At 38.5% G+C, this 19,186-nt stretch overlaps 1 long non-coding RNA gene across 1 annotated transcript in view, besides 1 other annotated feature; it reads right to left on the bottom strand.

The window, feature by feature from the left end:
• LOC105373893 (uncharacterized) overlaps positions 1–19,186 on the bottom strand; it is a 428,255-nt gene that overhangs the window by 61,093 nt on the left and 347,976 nt on the right. The gene's annotated exons all lie outside the window — the stretch shown is intronic.
• Positions 16,862–17,539: an enhancer, noted in NCBI's record as "OCT4-NANOG hESC enhancer chr2:221282056-221282733 (GRCh37/hg19 assembly coordinates)". NCBI's record gives its function as "activates a minimal SCP1, AML or CMV promoter by ChIP-STARR-seq in naive H9 embryonic stem cells {active_cell/tissue: H9 hESC(naive)}" and the evidence as "EXISTENCE:reporter gene assay evidence [ECO:0000049][PMID:30033119]".

Raw genomic sequence — 19,186 nt, 5'->3', positions numbered from 1 at the left:
CTATTCTAAAAAATTAAGTCTATTAATTTTTTAAAAGGCAAGGAGAATGTAAAGAATAATATGATTAAAGAAAAAAATACTTTTAGCTCTAACATGACCCCAAACTGACTCCTTGTAAGGTGGAATTGCGCCTAAAAATAATTTGGACTGGCTCATGCAAGCCCTCCTCAAAAGCCCCCAAACACCACAAATAGCTGATAAGACACAGCAAAGAAGATGCCAGACTGCTGGGCCCATTGCCATATGTAAGCCCTGCTTATGTGCTGGTAACTGTATTATATTAGTTTTCTATGACTGTGTAACAAATTACCACACACTTAGTCACCTAAAGCTACACGCATTTATGATGTCACTGCTTTTGCAGATCAGGTTTCTGAGCATGGCTGAGGTGGGGAAGCTCTTATGGGCTACAATCAAGATGCTGACTGAACTGCAACTCATCTGGAGGCTTGATGGGGGAAGGATCTGTGTCCAGGTTCACTGAGGTTGCTGGCAACATTTATTTTGTTGTAGTGCATGGCTTTTGGCCGGCTGTTGACTGAAGGCCGCACTCACACCACAGAGGTTAGAGGCTCATAGTTCCTCATCATGCGGGCTTCCTCAATATGGCTGCTTACTTGACAAGCCAGCAAGGAGAATCTCTCTGCAACTGCACAGAAGTGGTTGTATAGCACAATGTAAACATAAACACGACATTCCATCATCTTTGCTATATTCTATTTGTTAGAAACAAGTCACAGGTCACATACAAACTCAGGAAAGGGGATTGCACAAAAGTATGGACACCAGGAGGAGGAGACTCACTGGAAGTCACCTTAGGGTCTGTCCACCACATAGGCCAATGGGAGGACTCCACAAACAAGGACAGCAACCCAAAACATAACACACTGGAACCCCATAGCCTGTGGGGAAGCTTCAGATCTATGAGAAATGGTATTCAGCCCATTAGCTGAAGTTTTGCCTGGATGGATGGAATTATCTCTCAGTGTGTACCCTCAGGTTTTTACTGAAACATAATGGTTATGCAAAATATGAGGTATTTGTACTTCTAAGCTGAACCACAGGCTTGTTATTTTTATTCTTTTTATTAAAGGATAATAATAACATCAAACATACAGTGCCTGTAACATCTATGTAGCAGGAACTGTCCTTGGTCTCAATTAAGTATTTTTAAAAACATTTTTATAATCCCCAGTTTACAAAAAGAATTGGAGACACAGCAGTTTCGGGACTGAGAAGTGACAGAGCCAGGATTCAAACCAGGGAGTCTACACTGTCTCTCCCTGATTTTATGGATGACATGAAATAGTGGAATGAGGGATGAAAGAAACTCTTTGAAAGGTCATAACATTTGAAAAGAAAAAAATGTTACCAGAAAATTATGACTCTATCACATCTAAGCCCACTCTCCCCAGTACAACTCTTTACCATCTGGTTCATTCACAGATTTTAATGAATGTTACTAGATCAAATTTCAGAGTGCTATAGTCCATCTGCTGTAACTGGGGCTGTGGAAATACAGCATTAGCATCCTACTAGTCAATAACCAAGACTTATTGTTCAATTCCTGTCTCTAATCTACAAGTCATAATCATTGATGTCTCCATGACAACAAATCTAATTTTAAAAAGAGAGAGATTGGCAATACACAGATCTCTACATAGCAAATTTCCGACATGTGAATTTAGTAAGTATGCGGTATATGTAAGACCTTGTACAAAATGTAGATGCGATGGGGTGGATAAAAATGAATATGAATTATCTTTGCCTCTAAGGAGTTTATAATCCAGTTGGAGGGGCAGGCATATAGCAAATATAATAAAAGACACAATGAATGAAATGAAATCAGTGCTTCTGAAAAAGGAATAAGCAATATGGCAGAGGAGCCCCAGAGGAAGCAGGGATGGGTATTTCAGAATGAAGCTGATATCAAACTTGCTCCCAACCTTTAACTAACCACAGCCTTCCCCATGATCTGAAAATGTCAACTTGTGAAAGTGCTGTTGTCGATTTAGAAAGCAAAAGAGGAAGCACTAGAGAGGCCATGAAACTAGAGGGCCATGAGAATCATGGGCAAAAATAATGAGAGCCGCAGGTGGATGGGCCAGACACAGCACACTCCTTCTACTGGGTTTGTTTGTCAGTCATCTGCAAGGAAAGGTTCTTTGAGAACTGACACCAAGAGACCTCCTTCTTCATGTTGAAACATTGGCAGAAAGGGAGGAGACCAGGATTCTAAGAAAAACCAGTCAGGGTTCCCAAAGTATTCAATCTGATATGGTGAACATATCAGGTACAGACCTCTGGGATAAATTTTATGCTGTGTTCCAATGGTAAGATTAGCATATTTATCTAAATTCAAAGAAATAACCAATTTCCAAATATTCTTTGTCAATCAAAAGTGCAATAGGCTTTTGGAGTAATGTTTAATGTGTATAAAAACACACGTACATCTTGTTAAAATGCAGATTCTGCTTCTATGGAGCCAGGGCTGGAAGATTCTGAATTTCTAACAAGCCCCTGGGAGATGTAAATGCTGATGATTCATGAACCACTTTGAGTAGCAAGAAATTAAAGAAAAACCTTAAATACATACTAATTGCTCAACCTGCTCACCATCATGGTACAGTTGCTGCTCAGCTTACAGACTAAATGACTATAGCCTGGATTAAGGAGAAGAATTATGAGGAAAGGAATGGAAGGGAGTCTGAGTGGATGGAGACAGTGGTTTTAACCAATCACAGTAAAAATATCAGTCACACTTTAAACCCCCAGAGCTTTGGATGGGCCCACGAATGTTGGGCCCTGAAGCCAAAGCTTTAATAGCTTTGCCGTAAATTTGTCTCTGGTTTTAGTTCAACTCTTGATTAGCTAGAGTATATCCATTGATACGTTTTTTCAAAAAAGACAAATTTGTGGTATAATTTGAAATCTCCAGTGTTTAAGTAATTTTAAAAATCATATTGTGCCAAGAAAATATACACAAAATACAGACACACATATATAATGCAATAATTCATATCTTTTTATAGCTATTGTTTTGCCTATCATGGGTAGCACCTGATTTAGAGATGGTTCCTCTCAAGAAAACCATTTATTTGGAACTTAGAACAGCCCAGCTGTTACATACTTAGCTTCTCAGAGTAGCCCACAAGAAGTCTGTTTATTCTACAACATGCATTGTATAACAATGTAGATAAAATATGTGTTAACATATTTTCTTATATCACATAGCATGAGAATTCCTCTGCTCTGGGATGTCCAGGATGTCTCTAAGGATGTGGGACTTCTCAACCTTCTGTGACCTCCCAGGCCTTCATGTTTGTGTGCAGAGGGGATTACAACCCTCCAGCCCCAGCTCAATGGCACCAGCAAACACAGATTAAGGCAAAGAAAAAAAAATCCTCTAATTTCTAGCAGAATAGCAGTCATTGCAACTTGCAAGTGTGATAGTGCTGGTACCTGCATAAGTAAAAGTATTGGAACAGTAGGGCTCTCTCTGGCACACAGAGGTCTTCGAGTAGCATACATTAAAGAGAAGAGTAAGATTTATCTCATCTTATGAGAAAAATGCAGTCTCAGACCTAGCTGTCCCTGATATATAATTACAGAAATCAAGGCCAGGTGCCAGGATGGACGAGGGGAGGGGTCCTGCAATATTATCAAAAGGTTTGAGTTGTTGGGCAGCAGCAAACCCAGAATAAGGCAGGGAAGAAAATCCTCCAATTTCTAGCAGAATAGCAGTCTTCGCAATTTCCAAGTGTGAGACTGGGGAACCTGCTGAGGACGTTAAATCTGGGATAGTGATAGCAAAGGAGAGAAAGGAGACATTGGGACTTCCCTTTTCCTCATCCCTCACCTTTAACCAGTTCTGCCATCCCAGGCACTTCCCTAGGCCTTTGTGGACTGGCAGGGAAAGAAGTGGAGAATAGAAGATGAGAGGAGGTTTATAGGCAGCTCTCCAGTGTGCCAACATTAGAGAAACAGAGAACAGGCAAAGCAGTAGTGATTGATCAAGAAGAAGGGGTATTTGTGGAACTATGTAATTAAGGAGGCTTTCTGCAAGGGCTAGTTCAACTACAGAAATGTAAATGGCAAATGTGTAGAAAGTCACATCAGACAGGTTGGAGTAAGAAGGTTAGGTGGGTTGTCTTCTTCTTTGAGGTTCAGAATCCCCTTGTAAATAGTCTTTTTATCTATGAAGTGTGATACCTTTGAAGGCTTTAACTTCTTTCCTGACTCTGTCCCTTTGTGGTTGAACAAAAACATTACTGCCTTCCACAAACACTATTGCCCAGCTAGAGAGAGTTTTTGACTCTTATCAAACTTGAACCTTGCCAAAAGAAGAAGTGTCCAAACAGCCTCTGTCTACCAAGCAACATATGTTTGTTTTATTAAAAAGCCCCAAGTTGGAAAGCTCAATCCTGACCCAGCTCTAGAATTTATTCCCGCAGCCCATGATCCAACACTTCTGTTTCATTTCCTATGGACCCTCTCCCCACTCACTGTAATTAAGAGAAAACAATTTTTCAACTGTTATTAAAAGATACAGACATTTTATCCAAGAAACTTGGTGTATTTTCCAGAGCATTAGTTGCGTCAATTAAATTTGCATTTATTGCTGCTAGTTATTTCAGTGAAATAACTGGCCAGTGAATCACATAGACTGGGTATCCCTTGCTCTGCTAACATGTTTCCAACACGTCACACACAGGTATGTAACACAAGCACATGTTTTCAAGACCCAAGGCTCTTCAGGATTTATGCAGAAACCATTTTTGATTTAGTGGACTTTCCCCTCACTCCATGTGCCCCCTACAAACACCTTATAAATTGGTTGGTTGATTTGTTGTCCCTAGGTCATTTGTTTCTGCACATAATCAAATGTGATCTGTAGATCCTCAGGCCATACTAGTCTGGGTGTAAAAATGGAGCTGGTATTTACCTAACTCTGTCCTGAACTATTAAAACAGGTTCTCCTGTCTCTTCATCCTTCTAAACTTTTCTGGGAGTCCCTGGGAGATGTATTATATGTCATCCCAAACATAGCCCATTCTACCAGAATCTGGAATCTCCCTTTTTTTTTTTTTTCTCCACCATTTCCAACTTCCTGCACTAATTTATGCCAACTAAGCTTCCAGGCCCATAAAGTACAACGAAGTTGCCTCCCTACTGCAGGAATCTTGAGAAGGACCACAGTGATAAAGCCATGGCTCAGTATCATGCTGCTTGACACCATTTGTACACAACACTGAACTGAATCTGAAAGGCTGGGAGCAGTGCTGCGAGGGTGCATCACTGTTGCTCTTCCTCCTGGTACCAGCACTGTGGTCCTAAGTTCCTCTGGTGCTAAAGTTACTGGAAGCATAGGGACCACAGTAACTGTGGTATTTAACAGGCTGGAAGTGCCCTCTGCCTCTTTCCCCACCTTGGTATCACCACTGTTACACCAAGGGGCTCCAAGCAGCCCTGACCTGGTTCCCCAGGACTGAAATTGCTTCGGCTTTTTCCACTTTTCTTTTTGTAGGGCTCAAGCACAGACTCATGGTAAAGTGCAGCCTGGAAACAATTTGAAAGAGAGATACAATGCTTTAATCATTCATTCATTCATCTGACATTTATTAAGTGCCTACTATTTTCCTGATTCAGCCCCAGGGGCTGCATTTACAGTGGCAAACAGTAAAAACAAGGCTCCGCCTCCAGATCTTGTACTCAAGTAAAAACTCAGACCAACGATGAATGCAGCGTGAAGGGTGTTAGGATCAGGGAGGAACAGGGAAGTGCTAGAGCCCAGCACCGTGGTTAGAAGCTGGGTTCTGGGGCCAGGCTACTGGAGACTGAATTCTGGGCCCAGTGCTCGCTAGGTGTGTGGCCTGGGTAACTTACTGAATCTTACTCTGCCTCATTCACCTCATCTGAAAAATTCTATCGACAGCTGGGCTGTTGGAAGTACTCGATGAAGTAAACATGTGCAAGAATTAATACTGTCATATGTAACTTTGTTAAGTGACTTCAACTAACCTGTGTTTGTTAGAAAAGTGTACAGCTTTAGTTGCTATTACAAATATATTAAAAAGTAATTATCATTACTGTGTAATTTGCAAAATGTGTGTGATTCTGTTCTCCGAAAAACAGAATATTAGAAAACAAGCATGAAAACTCATGACTTTACTTCAAAGCTGATTAGAAATTCTTGAAAATGATTTTCTCCAAAACAAAAAAAACAAACCAAAAAGATACGTTCTTTCCAGAAAAACTTAGTGCAAAGAGAACATGACCTCAGCCCTCTATTATTACTATATGGTAACAAGGGACCTGATAGATTTGGGATGGTGGATGGAGAATAATTAAACCTGATTTTGTTTGTGTTGTATATATCAACGCAACTGTTTGATTGTTTGCTTTTTGGCTGTACAGACATCTGTGGTGCTGCTGTTGAGTAGACCTATGAGGTCCATGATGACAAAGTAATTACAACTTGTATGACTGTAGCAAAACATGTTTTATAGCAGCTCATTTACTCCACAGCAATGATTTATTGCATTTGTATGTGTGCACATATAAGTTTGCCATGACAAGATGATGCGTAGTAATTAATTTGCCAACATAGTTTCATGTAATATAATCCAGCCCTACTAACTGCACCACATTTAATAAAAGAAAGTGTTTAAACAGAACTCTGTTCTGAAAAGACATTTGGTGTGATGGCGAAACATCATCAGGAAACCAAAGCAGAAACGTGAGGCAGGAAGCCGAAATCTAAAACAGTGCTACAAATCCCAAAGAGGCAGCCAGTTGGAGCTGTGAAGACTCCCCATGCCAAACTGCACTGTTCTTGCATTACATAAAACTGAGTGGTCTTCTGGGAACCAGAAGAGAAATAAATGAACACAATTTCTTATTCTTTCAGATGTCCTACAAAAATTCATACATGAAATATTAGGGGTGATCACATGGGCTGGAGACACTTGAAGTTCTGGCAGTGCTTCTGTTTTGAGCCTGGGTTCTCAGAAGCGGCATCATTGCTGGTATTGCTAACTTTACACAGGGAGCTAGCAGTTAGCATCTCAGCTCATGAGTGAAATTGTTTTCATTTAGTTCGTTTGGAAAGAAAAATTGATTTACTATTTTGTCTTTCAGTATAATATTAGTGATATGCTTTCTTGAGTGGAACTTTTCAGAACAGACCATTTTTCTCCCTGCAATTAATTGTCACTGAATTTCCGATTACCTAAATAAGCTCTTTTTTTAAATGACATTTGAAATTGAAAATAATCAAAGCATTGTCTGTATAAGGTATAAACAGTTAAATACCTGATAATCTAAAAAAGTTCTGCCTGAATATTCTGTCATGGTTAAAAGACCTCAACGTACGTATAAACAAACTCTCGTCTTTGCCCACACTGCCCTGCCTGCACAACACAGTCCCTACACACCTCATCTTATCCCCTGAATACATGTTCTCCTTCTTCAATAAATAGCAGTTGACATGGAAGATGACCTCTGTCCCTTCAGCTATTTGGCTCCCATTTCACAATGGTTCTGAAAGGATAGTAACCCACTCAAATTAGGTGGGGAAAAGACCAATGATCTCCACCTCCCCGTGGAGGTGATCTCAATCTCCCACAGAAGTTTCCCATGGTTTATGTCTCTCCTGTACCCAAATTGACTTCTTTTGTCCTCTGTTGATTTGGATTCTTTCATATGTTGATATGAAAATATTTGTTTCCTGTATTCATAGTCTTCAAATCACTCTGCATACTCTTCCAAGTATATCTCTAAGGCTAACCAAGAGATATCTGCCCTTCATTTTATCACACCACTGTCACAAGATTTTAAAATCTGGAAAGGAGCATAGATTAGTACATTTAATTTCTTCCAAAAAGTGTTTTTGTAATAAGAAAATAACAAATGATAGGCAAACATGTTTACTTCAGGAAATTTGAGACTTAAAAGTATTAAGAGAATATTGTTGTAAAGATGTTGGTGTATTTCCTTCCAGTCACTTTTTTCTAAAAGAAATAGATAGATCACTTTGTCAAGTTCTAACATCAATAAAAAATATGCTCATCCAATTAATAGAAATTGCAGCAAATCCACAATTACACTTGGAATAAATTTATATACTTAAATGTTCCATTTTTCTACATAGAAATATATCTCCATGTGTATTTAAATCCCTCAGTAAAGTTCCATAGTTTTGTTAATAAAATCTAAAAGTTCTCATACTCTTTAAAATATTCCTTAAGCATTTTCATGTTTTTTGCCCTTGTGAATGGCATCTGATACTTCCATTTTCTATACTAGTTATGGCTGGCGTATTGGAAAGCCATTATGTTTTATATATTAATTTCTTATTAAACTCTAATTAATCCTAATAGCTCTTCAGTCAAGCCCACATTTCCACAAAATGAGAACAAGGATCTTTTATGAAGCCCAAAAAACAAACAAACGAAAAAAAACAAGATAATGCGAAAAATGGTTGAAGAGCTTCCTTAGCTCTGTGTGTGTTTGTGTAGATAAAATAAAGAAAAAGTTTCAACCATTTTTTGAGCATTTGTTTCCACATGTCTTTGGATGCCCATTTATATTGTAAGTGTGTGTCATAAAGTAGGTTATCAATGTTTATTAAAGAATACCTGTAATCCCAGCACTCTGGGAGGCTGAGGCGGGTAGATCAGGAGTTCGAGACCAGCCTGGCCAACATAATGAAACCATGTCTCTACTAAAAATACAAAAATTAGCCAAGCATGGTGGGACGTGCCTATAGTCCCAGCTACTCAGGAGGCTGAGGCAGGAGAATCGATGGGACCCAGGAGGCAGAGGTTGTGGTGAACCGAGATTATGCCACTGCACTCCAGCTTGGACAACAGAGTGAGACTCTGCAAAAAAAGAAAGAAAGAGAGAAAGAGAGAGAGAGGGAGGGAGGGAGGGAGGAAAGAAGGAAGGAAGGAAGGAAGGAAGGAAGGAAGGGAGAAAGAAAGATTACAAAGCAAAATTTAAATAAATGAGAAACAATATCCATATTGTATGCATAAAAAACTAGTTGTATGTACATACAAAACAGTTATAAGGGGGAATACATGCCACAAAAGGTAAAGAAATGCTCACTTGGTCTAATTGGGACTTAATCTATGAATTCTGTCTGGTACAGTTTACAGAATTTGGATATTAGATGGTAATAGACATTAATTCAGGACTGAAAGGCAAAAGAAATTCTTATTTTGAATCAAGAAGCTCAATTCAAACAAACCTGCCAAACATTTGTGTTCTGGGGCTGGTGGTTACTGGGAAATAGGGCCAAGCACTTTGACATGGCCACAGCAGCAGTGGGGCATGTGATGAGGGTCATTTAGATCAGAGCCCACTCTTCCTCTCTTGTGTGCAAGGCTGGTCACACGGGCCTTTCTAAGATAGCTAAAGCTGACCATTCACTAACATGAAATTATATTTCTGTATGTGAAGGTTACTACTTAAATGCTGCTAGGGTCATTCTAAGGTGTTTTAGCATAATAAATAAGGGTAGAATGAGAAAACATAATGGTTATAAATTAATCAGGAATTAATTAAGCCACTCCAATCTGCTCCTTCTAATGAAGTTTGTTGCCTAATGTAGTAAAGAGGATTCCTAATAAACTCTAGGGTTGTTAATCCTCCTAAATATCTGGGATTGTAAAGGACCATGAGAAAGTAAAATCATCTCAAAATTTAACCCAAGCATTTTGTTTCCTTGGGAAAAATTTCTAATTCCTAGTTCATTAATATTGTTCAACTGTGGATGGTGTGTGTGTGTGTGTGTGTGTCTGTGCATGTGTGTGTGTGTGTGTGTGTGTGTGTGTCTGTAAGGCTCAAGGAAAAGTCCCCATCAAACGGGTTTCAAATTAATTTGTACATTAATCTGTGTAGGAAGCTTTCTTTATTTGATAAAGAAGGGGGGAAAAAGACATCACATTGACTTAAAAGTTTCTACTAATTTCTAACTATGCCTGAGGAGTTTCCACAATATTTTCCAATCAGCAAAGGATTTGTGACTCTTTTCAGTGTGCCTGAGATGGCACAGACAAATTACTTAAGAGCCCAAGGAGATTATCTCTAATTGGCATAAAAAGGATATGGCATTAAAAACAAAACTCTCTGAAACTCTGACAGTGTTTGGTGCCTAAAGGGTAAGGCAGTTCCCTCTGTGGTAACACTGTAGAAATAAACACATCAGCCTACGATAGATGGCGGCCTTTTGAGGTCTTATTTAGACTTGGAAAGCTTTATTTCTCTTGCATTATGCTTCACAAGGCTGAGTTGTACTTGCTAAATGAGGGCAAATGACAGACTCACCTTGGCAGCCCGTCTTCATGATGTTTACCTTTGTTATATACAATGAATTATCATTGTTTATAAAATACAAATACCAATGCTCACAGAAAGTCAATATGAAATACATGCTGTTTGGATTATGCAGAGATCAGAAATTGAGAGCATTTGGGAAAGCAACGGAAGGGATAGGAAGATGAGGTTCATACTAGCAGATAGGTTAAGAATAAGTAGCAGTGAGTTTTACCAGGGATGTAGTCAATGATTACAATTGCAAGTCACTGAGTTAGGTGATGGGCTGGTATCAAAGTCTCTGCTCTCAATGGGCTTAACACTTCATGGGAAAAATAAGACAGACTTATCATAAAATTAAATAATAATAGCATGCAATAGGCAATATAAAAAAAAAACCCTAGGACAAAGATCAACAAAGTTGATCTCTGATAAGTGAGCCATTAAAGACCATCCAATCCAAACTAATTCTTTTGTAGTTGAGGAAAATGAGATGAAGACAGATTAAGCAACTCATCTGTGATCACCTAGATGGTTAGTTATTCTGGCTCAGGATCAGATTGTATGTTCTTACCACCAAAAAGGAGAGATATGACTACATAACACAGTAGGCTCAAAAAGTATTACTGAGTATGTAATTTTTTTAAAAAAAGAAGGGACACAAAGAAAAGAAACAAACAAACAATGACAACAAAAACCAGGCCTTAAAAAAGGGTGCTATGGTCTAAATGTTTGTGTTCCCCTCCCAAAATTCTTATGTTGAAAACTTAGTCACCAGTGTGATGGTATTGGGGGGCCTTTGGGAGGTGATTAGGTAATCCTCATGACTGGGATTAGTATCCTTGCAAAAGATGCCACAGAGACATCTGCCTTGTTTCTTTCCACCATGTGAGGTTATCAGGAGAAAACAGCCCTCACCAGACACTGAATCTGCTAGCTGATAGCACCTTGCTCTTGGACTTCCCAGCCTCCAGAACTGTGAGCTATACATGTCTGTTGTTTATAAGCCACCCAGTTTATGGCATTTTGAGCCATCCAAATAGACTATGATAGAGGGATACAATTTCAAACAGTAGAAAGAATGAGAGTGGGCTGAGGAAAGAACATAGGGTATGGACCTGCATGGGCAGGCAGCACCACGCCCAAGCTGAAGAGACCTCACATAAGGGCAGTGGGAGTCAAAGGCAAAAGCAAACATTTTCCCTCTTGCATCTTCCAGAACAAACTTTGGTATCTAGATTTTCTTCTAGGGTTAAGACCAGCCCAGTCCAATCAGAACAATCCCCTCGCTATCTGCCAAACACCCACATTTCTTCAAAATCCTTCCCTTTCTTGATGCTGCTCCTAGGACACACCCTATCTGATTTTCAAGGTCAGATGGCAAAGACACTTCATTTAGAATCTCCCTGATCTTTGGGCCCATGGAAAGCACTGTTTCCTGAACTACATTGTAGGCAGCCTGAAATATTCATGTAATCATGTAGATTTTAAGCTTTGGATATAGAGATGTTACATCTTACACTTACTGTGTGTCACACTGTGTGCTTACAATACTAGTCATGATGTGGGCTCTTAATGATTCTTACTGACCAAATCATAAAAAGAAACCTTTCTTCCAATGGCCTGTGCATCTGTCATTGAATCCTCATCACCCATCTTCAGATCTTGACCTGAGCTAAAAAATGATGATGATGATGATGATGATGATGATGACATTTACAACAATAGCAGTTATATTTTTAAGTACTTTTGGTAAGCCAGACACTTTTCAAAGCACTACTGTGTATTATTCTATTTAATCTTTGGCACAGTTATATAAGATACACATTGTTATCATCACCATTTTTAGTAGAAGAAAATTAAACAACGAATGTTGATCATAAGAAGCCAAAAAATTTTCTGTGCAGAAAGTTTCCTTTCATGGCTATAGCATATAGGCTGATTTGTATTTTAAATAAATTCAGATTTCCATAAGATCATTAGGGGAAGATATTCCCTTATCTGTTCAAACACTAATTCCATACTTACATTGTTTCTGTCCATGTGAAAGCAGGCATGATATGTAAAAATGTTAACCTGTATGGCAGGGATATCAGCGTTTAACAATAAATACTTGACAGTTCTATATGGAGGGAGGTTCTGTTGGGTTATAACTCTGCATCCTCCCTTACCCACCCACACCTGCCCCCAAATAGGAGGAGTGAGATATCTGATTGGAGGGTTTAGAAGAAGAATCTGAGCAGGTGTAGCTTGGTGTCTGCAAGCTGTGCACATTTTGCTTGCTTCCTTCAGGAACCTACATTTAATAAAGTGAGTCCTGCTGATGAACTAGCAAGGAGCCCACAGTTGGAGTGCTGTTTGAAACTGGGTGGGTAAACCTGTGTTATCTCAACATTTAGTATTAAGGAGCACTCTGTTGCCACATACCTGAACCAAGACAAAGATCTCCATAGCTCTACCACAAATGGAACTGACATTTTGGTTGCTATGTCCCTGACTGTATCTAGCTCTAATGGTTCTGAAATTGATCATGGAAACGAGGTAGTATTTATCAGGCTTTCTAAAAACTGCACCATCAACCAAAAGGTTTTTTTTTACATTGAAAAAATTTGCAATAAGAATGCTTAAATATAAAGCTTGCATTCAGTATTTAACATATAATTTCCTAACCAATATTTTATTTAATTTTTTCATCTCAGAAATAAGGCTATCATTGACCGTACCAAATCAAATGCTTTCATAAATATTACAGAGTTGGGAAATAGTTTAGACTCTTTGGTAATGTCTTTCATCACTGTTTGTATTACTTCTTTTTATTCCAATATGATGCATATACTGTACTGTTAACTAGATTATACAAAGCAAATACCTCACAGCAACATGAAATGACAATACCTAGCACCAAAAAAAAAAAAAAGAGAGAGAGACACAGAGAGAGAGAGAGAGAGGCCTCCTAAGGAGAAAATAATGCCATTCTTAAATGTTTTCATATTAAGAAGTCACACTAGAATCTACTATATTATAGATTTTGATATGATATGTCAACCATACTGAAATCTCCACATTTTAGGAAAACTTTTTACTTTTTTTTCCCCCATAAAAAGGATAATCCCTATTTATTTCATTTAAAGGAGACATTAGCAAAATTTAACAATGTTAAATTTGGGGATTCTTTTAACGTTTTTAAGCCCCAGACTGGCAAGAACAAAGAATCACTTTGCTAACTAATGTATTAAATACATTGTCTATTTATATAGTAATTGTTTGATGGAAAATTCATCTCTTTTGTTCCTTCTTATCTTTTCTTCTCTCTTGTCCATGCAGTGTATTTATGAATTATGCATGTGAACATAATTAAAAGTAACAATTGGTGAATTGTACTCCATGGACATTGTTTCATGTTTCAAGTCTTATTTAGGCTAAACCAAATTTATGCAAAGAGAAGATCTTATAATCAAATTCATAACCATCCTTCCTGGGAAGGTTTCCTTTATGTAAAATGCATTGCTTGCTAGAGGCTGTTTTTATGACCAAAAGCTTTGCATAGTATCTTCAAAAAAAAAAAATAGTAGACAATTTAACAGCAACTCCCTGCTCCTTTCTACAATGAAGGTTTCCTATAACTATTATCTGTCTTCCTTTACCCTCTACAGCATGGTTCATTTGCAGGCCATGTAGAGCTGCTAAGAACCAGCTTCTGCAGCAGTTCTGTTATTTGCAAACTAGGAACAGGTACAATATAGCAAATGGTGGAATGAGATTAATTCCTAAAACTCTCGTCTTTGATTCCCCTCAGGAGCTCTCATGGTAATTTTTCATCTTTTGTTTGCTTGTTTATTTTTATGTTTTAAGTACAAGAATCCTGGAAAAGGAAAAAGAGAGCTGAGATACTTAGAAAGATATCACTCTATCCACAGGCATACTTACTCCATAGGGGAAGAAAAGATTACCATAAATATTACCCCAGCTCCAAGCTTCTTCCTCCCCAATTCACATTTTTCAAAGTATTCTTTCTTTAGGAAAATACATTTTATTAAATGGTTTGTTTTAAAAAACATATGATCCAAACTCTCAGCTTAGTGTCACGTGCACATTTACTGAAAATCATCTGCACTCCCTCATCTATGAAATCCTGGAATATTCTGTTCAGAACCCGTCCCTGTATTTTACTAGCACATACCTGGATAGCCTTTCTCTTACTTAACCTAGGTCATCCTTAGCAATTTCTATCTCTGGACTTCTTATTTTCCTGAAACAACAAGCTCTTCTGTAAAGATAAAACATAATGAATTTGCAGTAAGGAATCGACTATTTTTCACTGCCAACAAACCATCCTTTTTGACTGTGAGTCCATTTCTCGGCAATGTGACAATATCATAGGATGAGTAGACCTGAAAAAACTTCAGATTTCCTCTCAGACTTGGGAAAGAACGTGATGTGTGATCACTTTAGCTTGGTCTGCTTTTGTAAAATGCAGTTTGATATTCTCTCCTCTTCCTCCCTCTGCTCTCCCTTCCCCATGATTTGAAAAATGCCATGTTTAAAAGCTTTGGCTGGACCCTGATGTCATCCACTTGATCCGTCATCATCTTCTCAGCTCATCTTTCTCTCTATTAAAAATAAGATATTTATATTTCTAGATGAAATAGGAGAAACCTGGGCCTGATAAATGACTTCCTGTTGTCATGACTGCCGGGTAGTGTATTATTGGAGGGAGTTCAGCCATGATCTAGTGTTATTGCCTTCTGTTCTGCTGACTGGAAATGATCACTCATATCCACATAGTGTAAAGTTTATTTTTAAGAATCAGACCGTTAATTAAAGAGAAGAAGAATTAATACAGGAAGCATGCCATGGAAAGGTGGTGACGGATGTCACAAGCTGCAGATGTTAAAGCCTTGTTGAGGAGACACTGGATTCTCTTAAACTATCCCCTATCTCTGAATAGTGGAGTGAAGGCAATGGTTATAGAGCTTGAAGGAAAGAAAGAGTTGTTTGAAATAAGCACTCGCCCCTATTTACTACACTAACGGGGGAAGGCAGCCTCTTCACAGGCCAAAGTCATTCCCACAAGAGCCTGGAGTGCGGCCATATCATAGCCCTTTGAAGTGCCCCAGAAATTCAGGAGATGACCTTACGAGATACCCAGACATTGCATTAAATATCCTCAATCACATAGCAAGGAAAGTGTTGTTTTTATTTTTCTATATCTAAGCAAGTCTTGCGTGGGTCTGAGTATGTCTTTAACATCAGCCATCATGGGCTGAACCTTCTGGTTTAACAAAAGGTGAGAAGACTCTGAACCCTCTGAGTAGAATTTAACTTAAGAGCTCACATTTTATTTTTCTTTGCTATTACCTTCCGTTTACTGTAAGCAAAACTGGTATTTTTCACTTATGTAATAAAGTCTCTTTCGAAAATGAACTAGCTTAATGTTTTTGTTTTTTGAAAAAAGCAAGTCCATTTAAACAAAATATTATGTGCATAGTGGTAGACTTGACAATCAGATATGACAAAATAATTGAAGGAGAAAAGCCATAGGATGAATACGTGAAAAAAATTGTTAAGGTTTTGCACAAATGACTGAAGTTTGGGAAATGCTTGTTTTGGATAATACCTAAATACTGATAAGGATTCGTATAAAAAAAAAACTTTAAAAACACATAGAGAGGACTAAGGTAAGTCCCTAATGTGGTGATAAAAACATTAGAAAAACTATGGAGATACTGAAATAAAATCAGTATTAAACTCACAGGAACGATAGCCTGAGGTTTCAAAAGCTATTTTTAGGGTGTCTCGTAACACCTGTTATTAATTAAACACATCAATTTCCTTTATCCTAAAAAGCAAACAAAAAAGGAATTCAGCAAAGTCAAGTGACAAACGGGTTAACAATATTTGACTCCTTGCCTCTCACGCATTCTATTCGAAGTGGCTTATGCTCAACCTTACAAAAAATAAGTGTATTTTCACTGAAAAGTCAGAAGTCAGAGATTTATTTTAAGCTCATCGGACACTTGGCAGAGGGATGTATAAGAATGTCTGATAGGGAAAACTATGCCTAATAGAGTTCTCTTCTTTTTCTTTGAAAGCCCTGATTTTGACGGTAGAATTTCCTCCTTCCTTATGAAGACATCACCCTTGCTAGGTTGTAGTAAGACCTCAGAGGTCATGTTCACAGCGGTATCTCCAGGGACTAATCCAGTGTTTTGTTCATAGCCAACACTCATTAAGTATTGAATGAGTAATAAATGAATGAATTAACAAATGAATTTAAGGTCTTCACACAAAATCCAATCCCGTGAGACATAATAGAGAAGAGAAAACATTAACCAAACTACTGAAGTCAACATTTTGCTTCCCCTACTGTTAACTTTAAAAGTGAAGGTCATAATTGATGCAGTTCAGTCATCCACTTTACACTCAGTGCACAAGTTTTGTTCATCTTTCTGTGAAGCTGAAAAGATTATAATGAAATTGCCTAAAGAAAGAAGGGAGGGACAATTGTAAATAGTTTTCTCTGACAACTGGTATCAGCATTTTCTCATAGCCTTGCATTTATTCAGACTAAAATGACAAATGTATTACAATGAATAGATGAGATCTTTCTTTCTGGATATAGCATAAAAATAAAACAATACTGTACTGATTTTTCTCGGCGCATTGTCCTCCCCGCACAATTGCGGAACGTTGGCAGAGCTGTTAACACCATTGATAGGAAACAAACAAAACTTGGGACAGATTCTGCAGCCTGGAGCTTGTGAATGTCTAGGATTTACAGCTCAGCTTGATGCCACTGTGGGACTCCTCTGGCTTCAATATCCTGCCAGCTAGCAGGGGGGCTTTTTTCTCTTCATGAAAGTGCACCTTTTCCTCAAGGTCACGCATTTACAGTTTCTTAAAGAGATTCCTACTGATCATGGGACTCCTCTCAGTTTGAGGAGCCTCCTGGGTGCTTTGAAGCCCAGTTTCTTGAAAGCTGCCCCGCAGTCCTCCTGGAATGGAGCTAGTAGATATAGAGGCAGACTGTTTGGAATTGAAAGGACCCCCAGCATTCCACCATGAAGTTTCTGCTGTTGTCCTCACAGAGCCCAACAGTCGGCCCGCTTCACATCTGTGCTGAAAAGTTTTTACCAGCTTTTGGGAAAATATCAACCCTAGTGAAAGTTTGATGCCTGCTTAAATATATCTTAAGCAGGCATGAGAGCAATTAAATCAAGTCTGTATCATAGAGTACTCCGGATAAATAGCAAGCTCCAAATATTCCCTGGCCTGTGCCCTACATTTGAGTTTTTAATATAAGCACAGTAACTCTCCAATTCTGGAAGTGATCGGCAAGGTTCAAAGTCATCCCCCACTGCTCCACAAACCACGGGCAGGAGGGAGCTTCATTTCCTGATCAATCATCCAGACCAACCCTGGAGGGCCTTCCCAGCCAAATGAGCCAAGGCCAAGTTCTTTCAACACTCTGAGGTGGCAATCAGTCGCCCTACACAAGAGGAAGATGCTCTGTATATGATTTGAGGACAGGCTTCAGTTACCCTTCTCTTATTTTTCTTTAGTTTCTTGCTTTATCTTCTTTGGCCTGTATTGCAAAGAGACCGCAACCTTTAAGATCCATGATGCCTTCTAAAAGGAGACAGAGTGGGAGGACTCTGACAGGTGTGGCTCAAAGGTGAAGTGGCTGAAATACTGATGGAAAACAACTGGTGATAAAGCAAGGCTCCCAATTACCCTAGAGCCATGAGATGAGCATAGGCATTAGCAGCTAATATACTTGGATTTCATTCCAAGCCTTTATATTTTAGTTAAGTGTAATCTGACTGAACTTCTGTTTTCTCATTTGCACGTGAGAGGAAGAGATGTTTCAGGAGGAAGGGACGTGATGTACATAGCGTACCTTGTATATAAAATGCCAACTACCTTCAAGGGGCTTTTTCAGTTTTTATGTGTAAGAAAGGGTATTTTCTTGAAGAGGTAAAGTTTGTTCTTCTTGTCTGTTGTCTATTTGTCTGTTTTCAAAATGTACTCTGCTTGATTCTGCCTTGAGCATATTTAATTTGATTAATCCCACTAGAATTAAATTTCATGAGAGCAGTGTCCGTATTTTCCTAACTGCTGTATTACCAGCTATTAGAACATTACAGAACACAGATACTATTCTTTCTTCTACAATCAGTTTTTCAATTATGCCTTCCCAGAATGGCTCAGGCTCACATTTGAGACCACTTATCTTTTTAAGGTTGTGTCCACTATCCCTAATTAGAGTGGGGTATCTTAACAGCACGGACACTCTGTGTGTCCTGAGATACCTCCTAACTCAGCACACCAAACATAGCAAGTGCATGTTAATATTTCTTGTGAGAATCTACTGTGAATTTGGTACTGTGGATTTCATACAAGTCTTATTTCTGCCTGGGCACTTGGTTTTACTTATCTTCCATCAATCATAGTGTATATGTTTTCATTTTAATCTATCTACTTATTGGATACCATACTTTATGACATTGCCAATTCAGTCAATAAATACCTCCCCATGAAACTAAAGCTGACTTTTTAATTGGGATTCCTTTTAAAAGGCAAATAATATGCTACTTGTTATCCTCCATTTAATCTTTAGAATAACTAGCAGCATTTTTATTTTTTGCAACATGTGTCGATCACCCTTAATGCTCTGAAGAAACAATGATGCTTCTGAAAACTCAACTCTCATTCTTCTGACTCCATCAGGATGACTCTTACTAATCAGAATGGCTGTTTAAAGTCTGTATTCTTTCATAATTTATCTTTCTCCTAATGTTGCAGAGTAAAGCTGTGATGATCAGTCACTTAGAGATGAATCCACTTTTTCCCTCCTTGACTGAAT

The sequence above is a fragment of the Homo sapiens genome, chromosome 2 (assembly GCF_000001405.40).
Source record: "Homo sapiens chromosome 2, GRCh38.p14 Primary Assembly".
Lineage (NCBI taxonomy): Eukaryota > Metazoa > Chordata > Mammalia > Primates > Hominidae > Homo > Homo sapiens.
The sequence above is the reverse complement of the archived record's forward strand: the minus strand, read 5'-3'. Positions and strand labels throughout refer to the sequence as shown.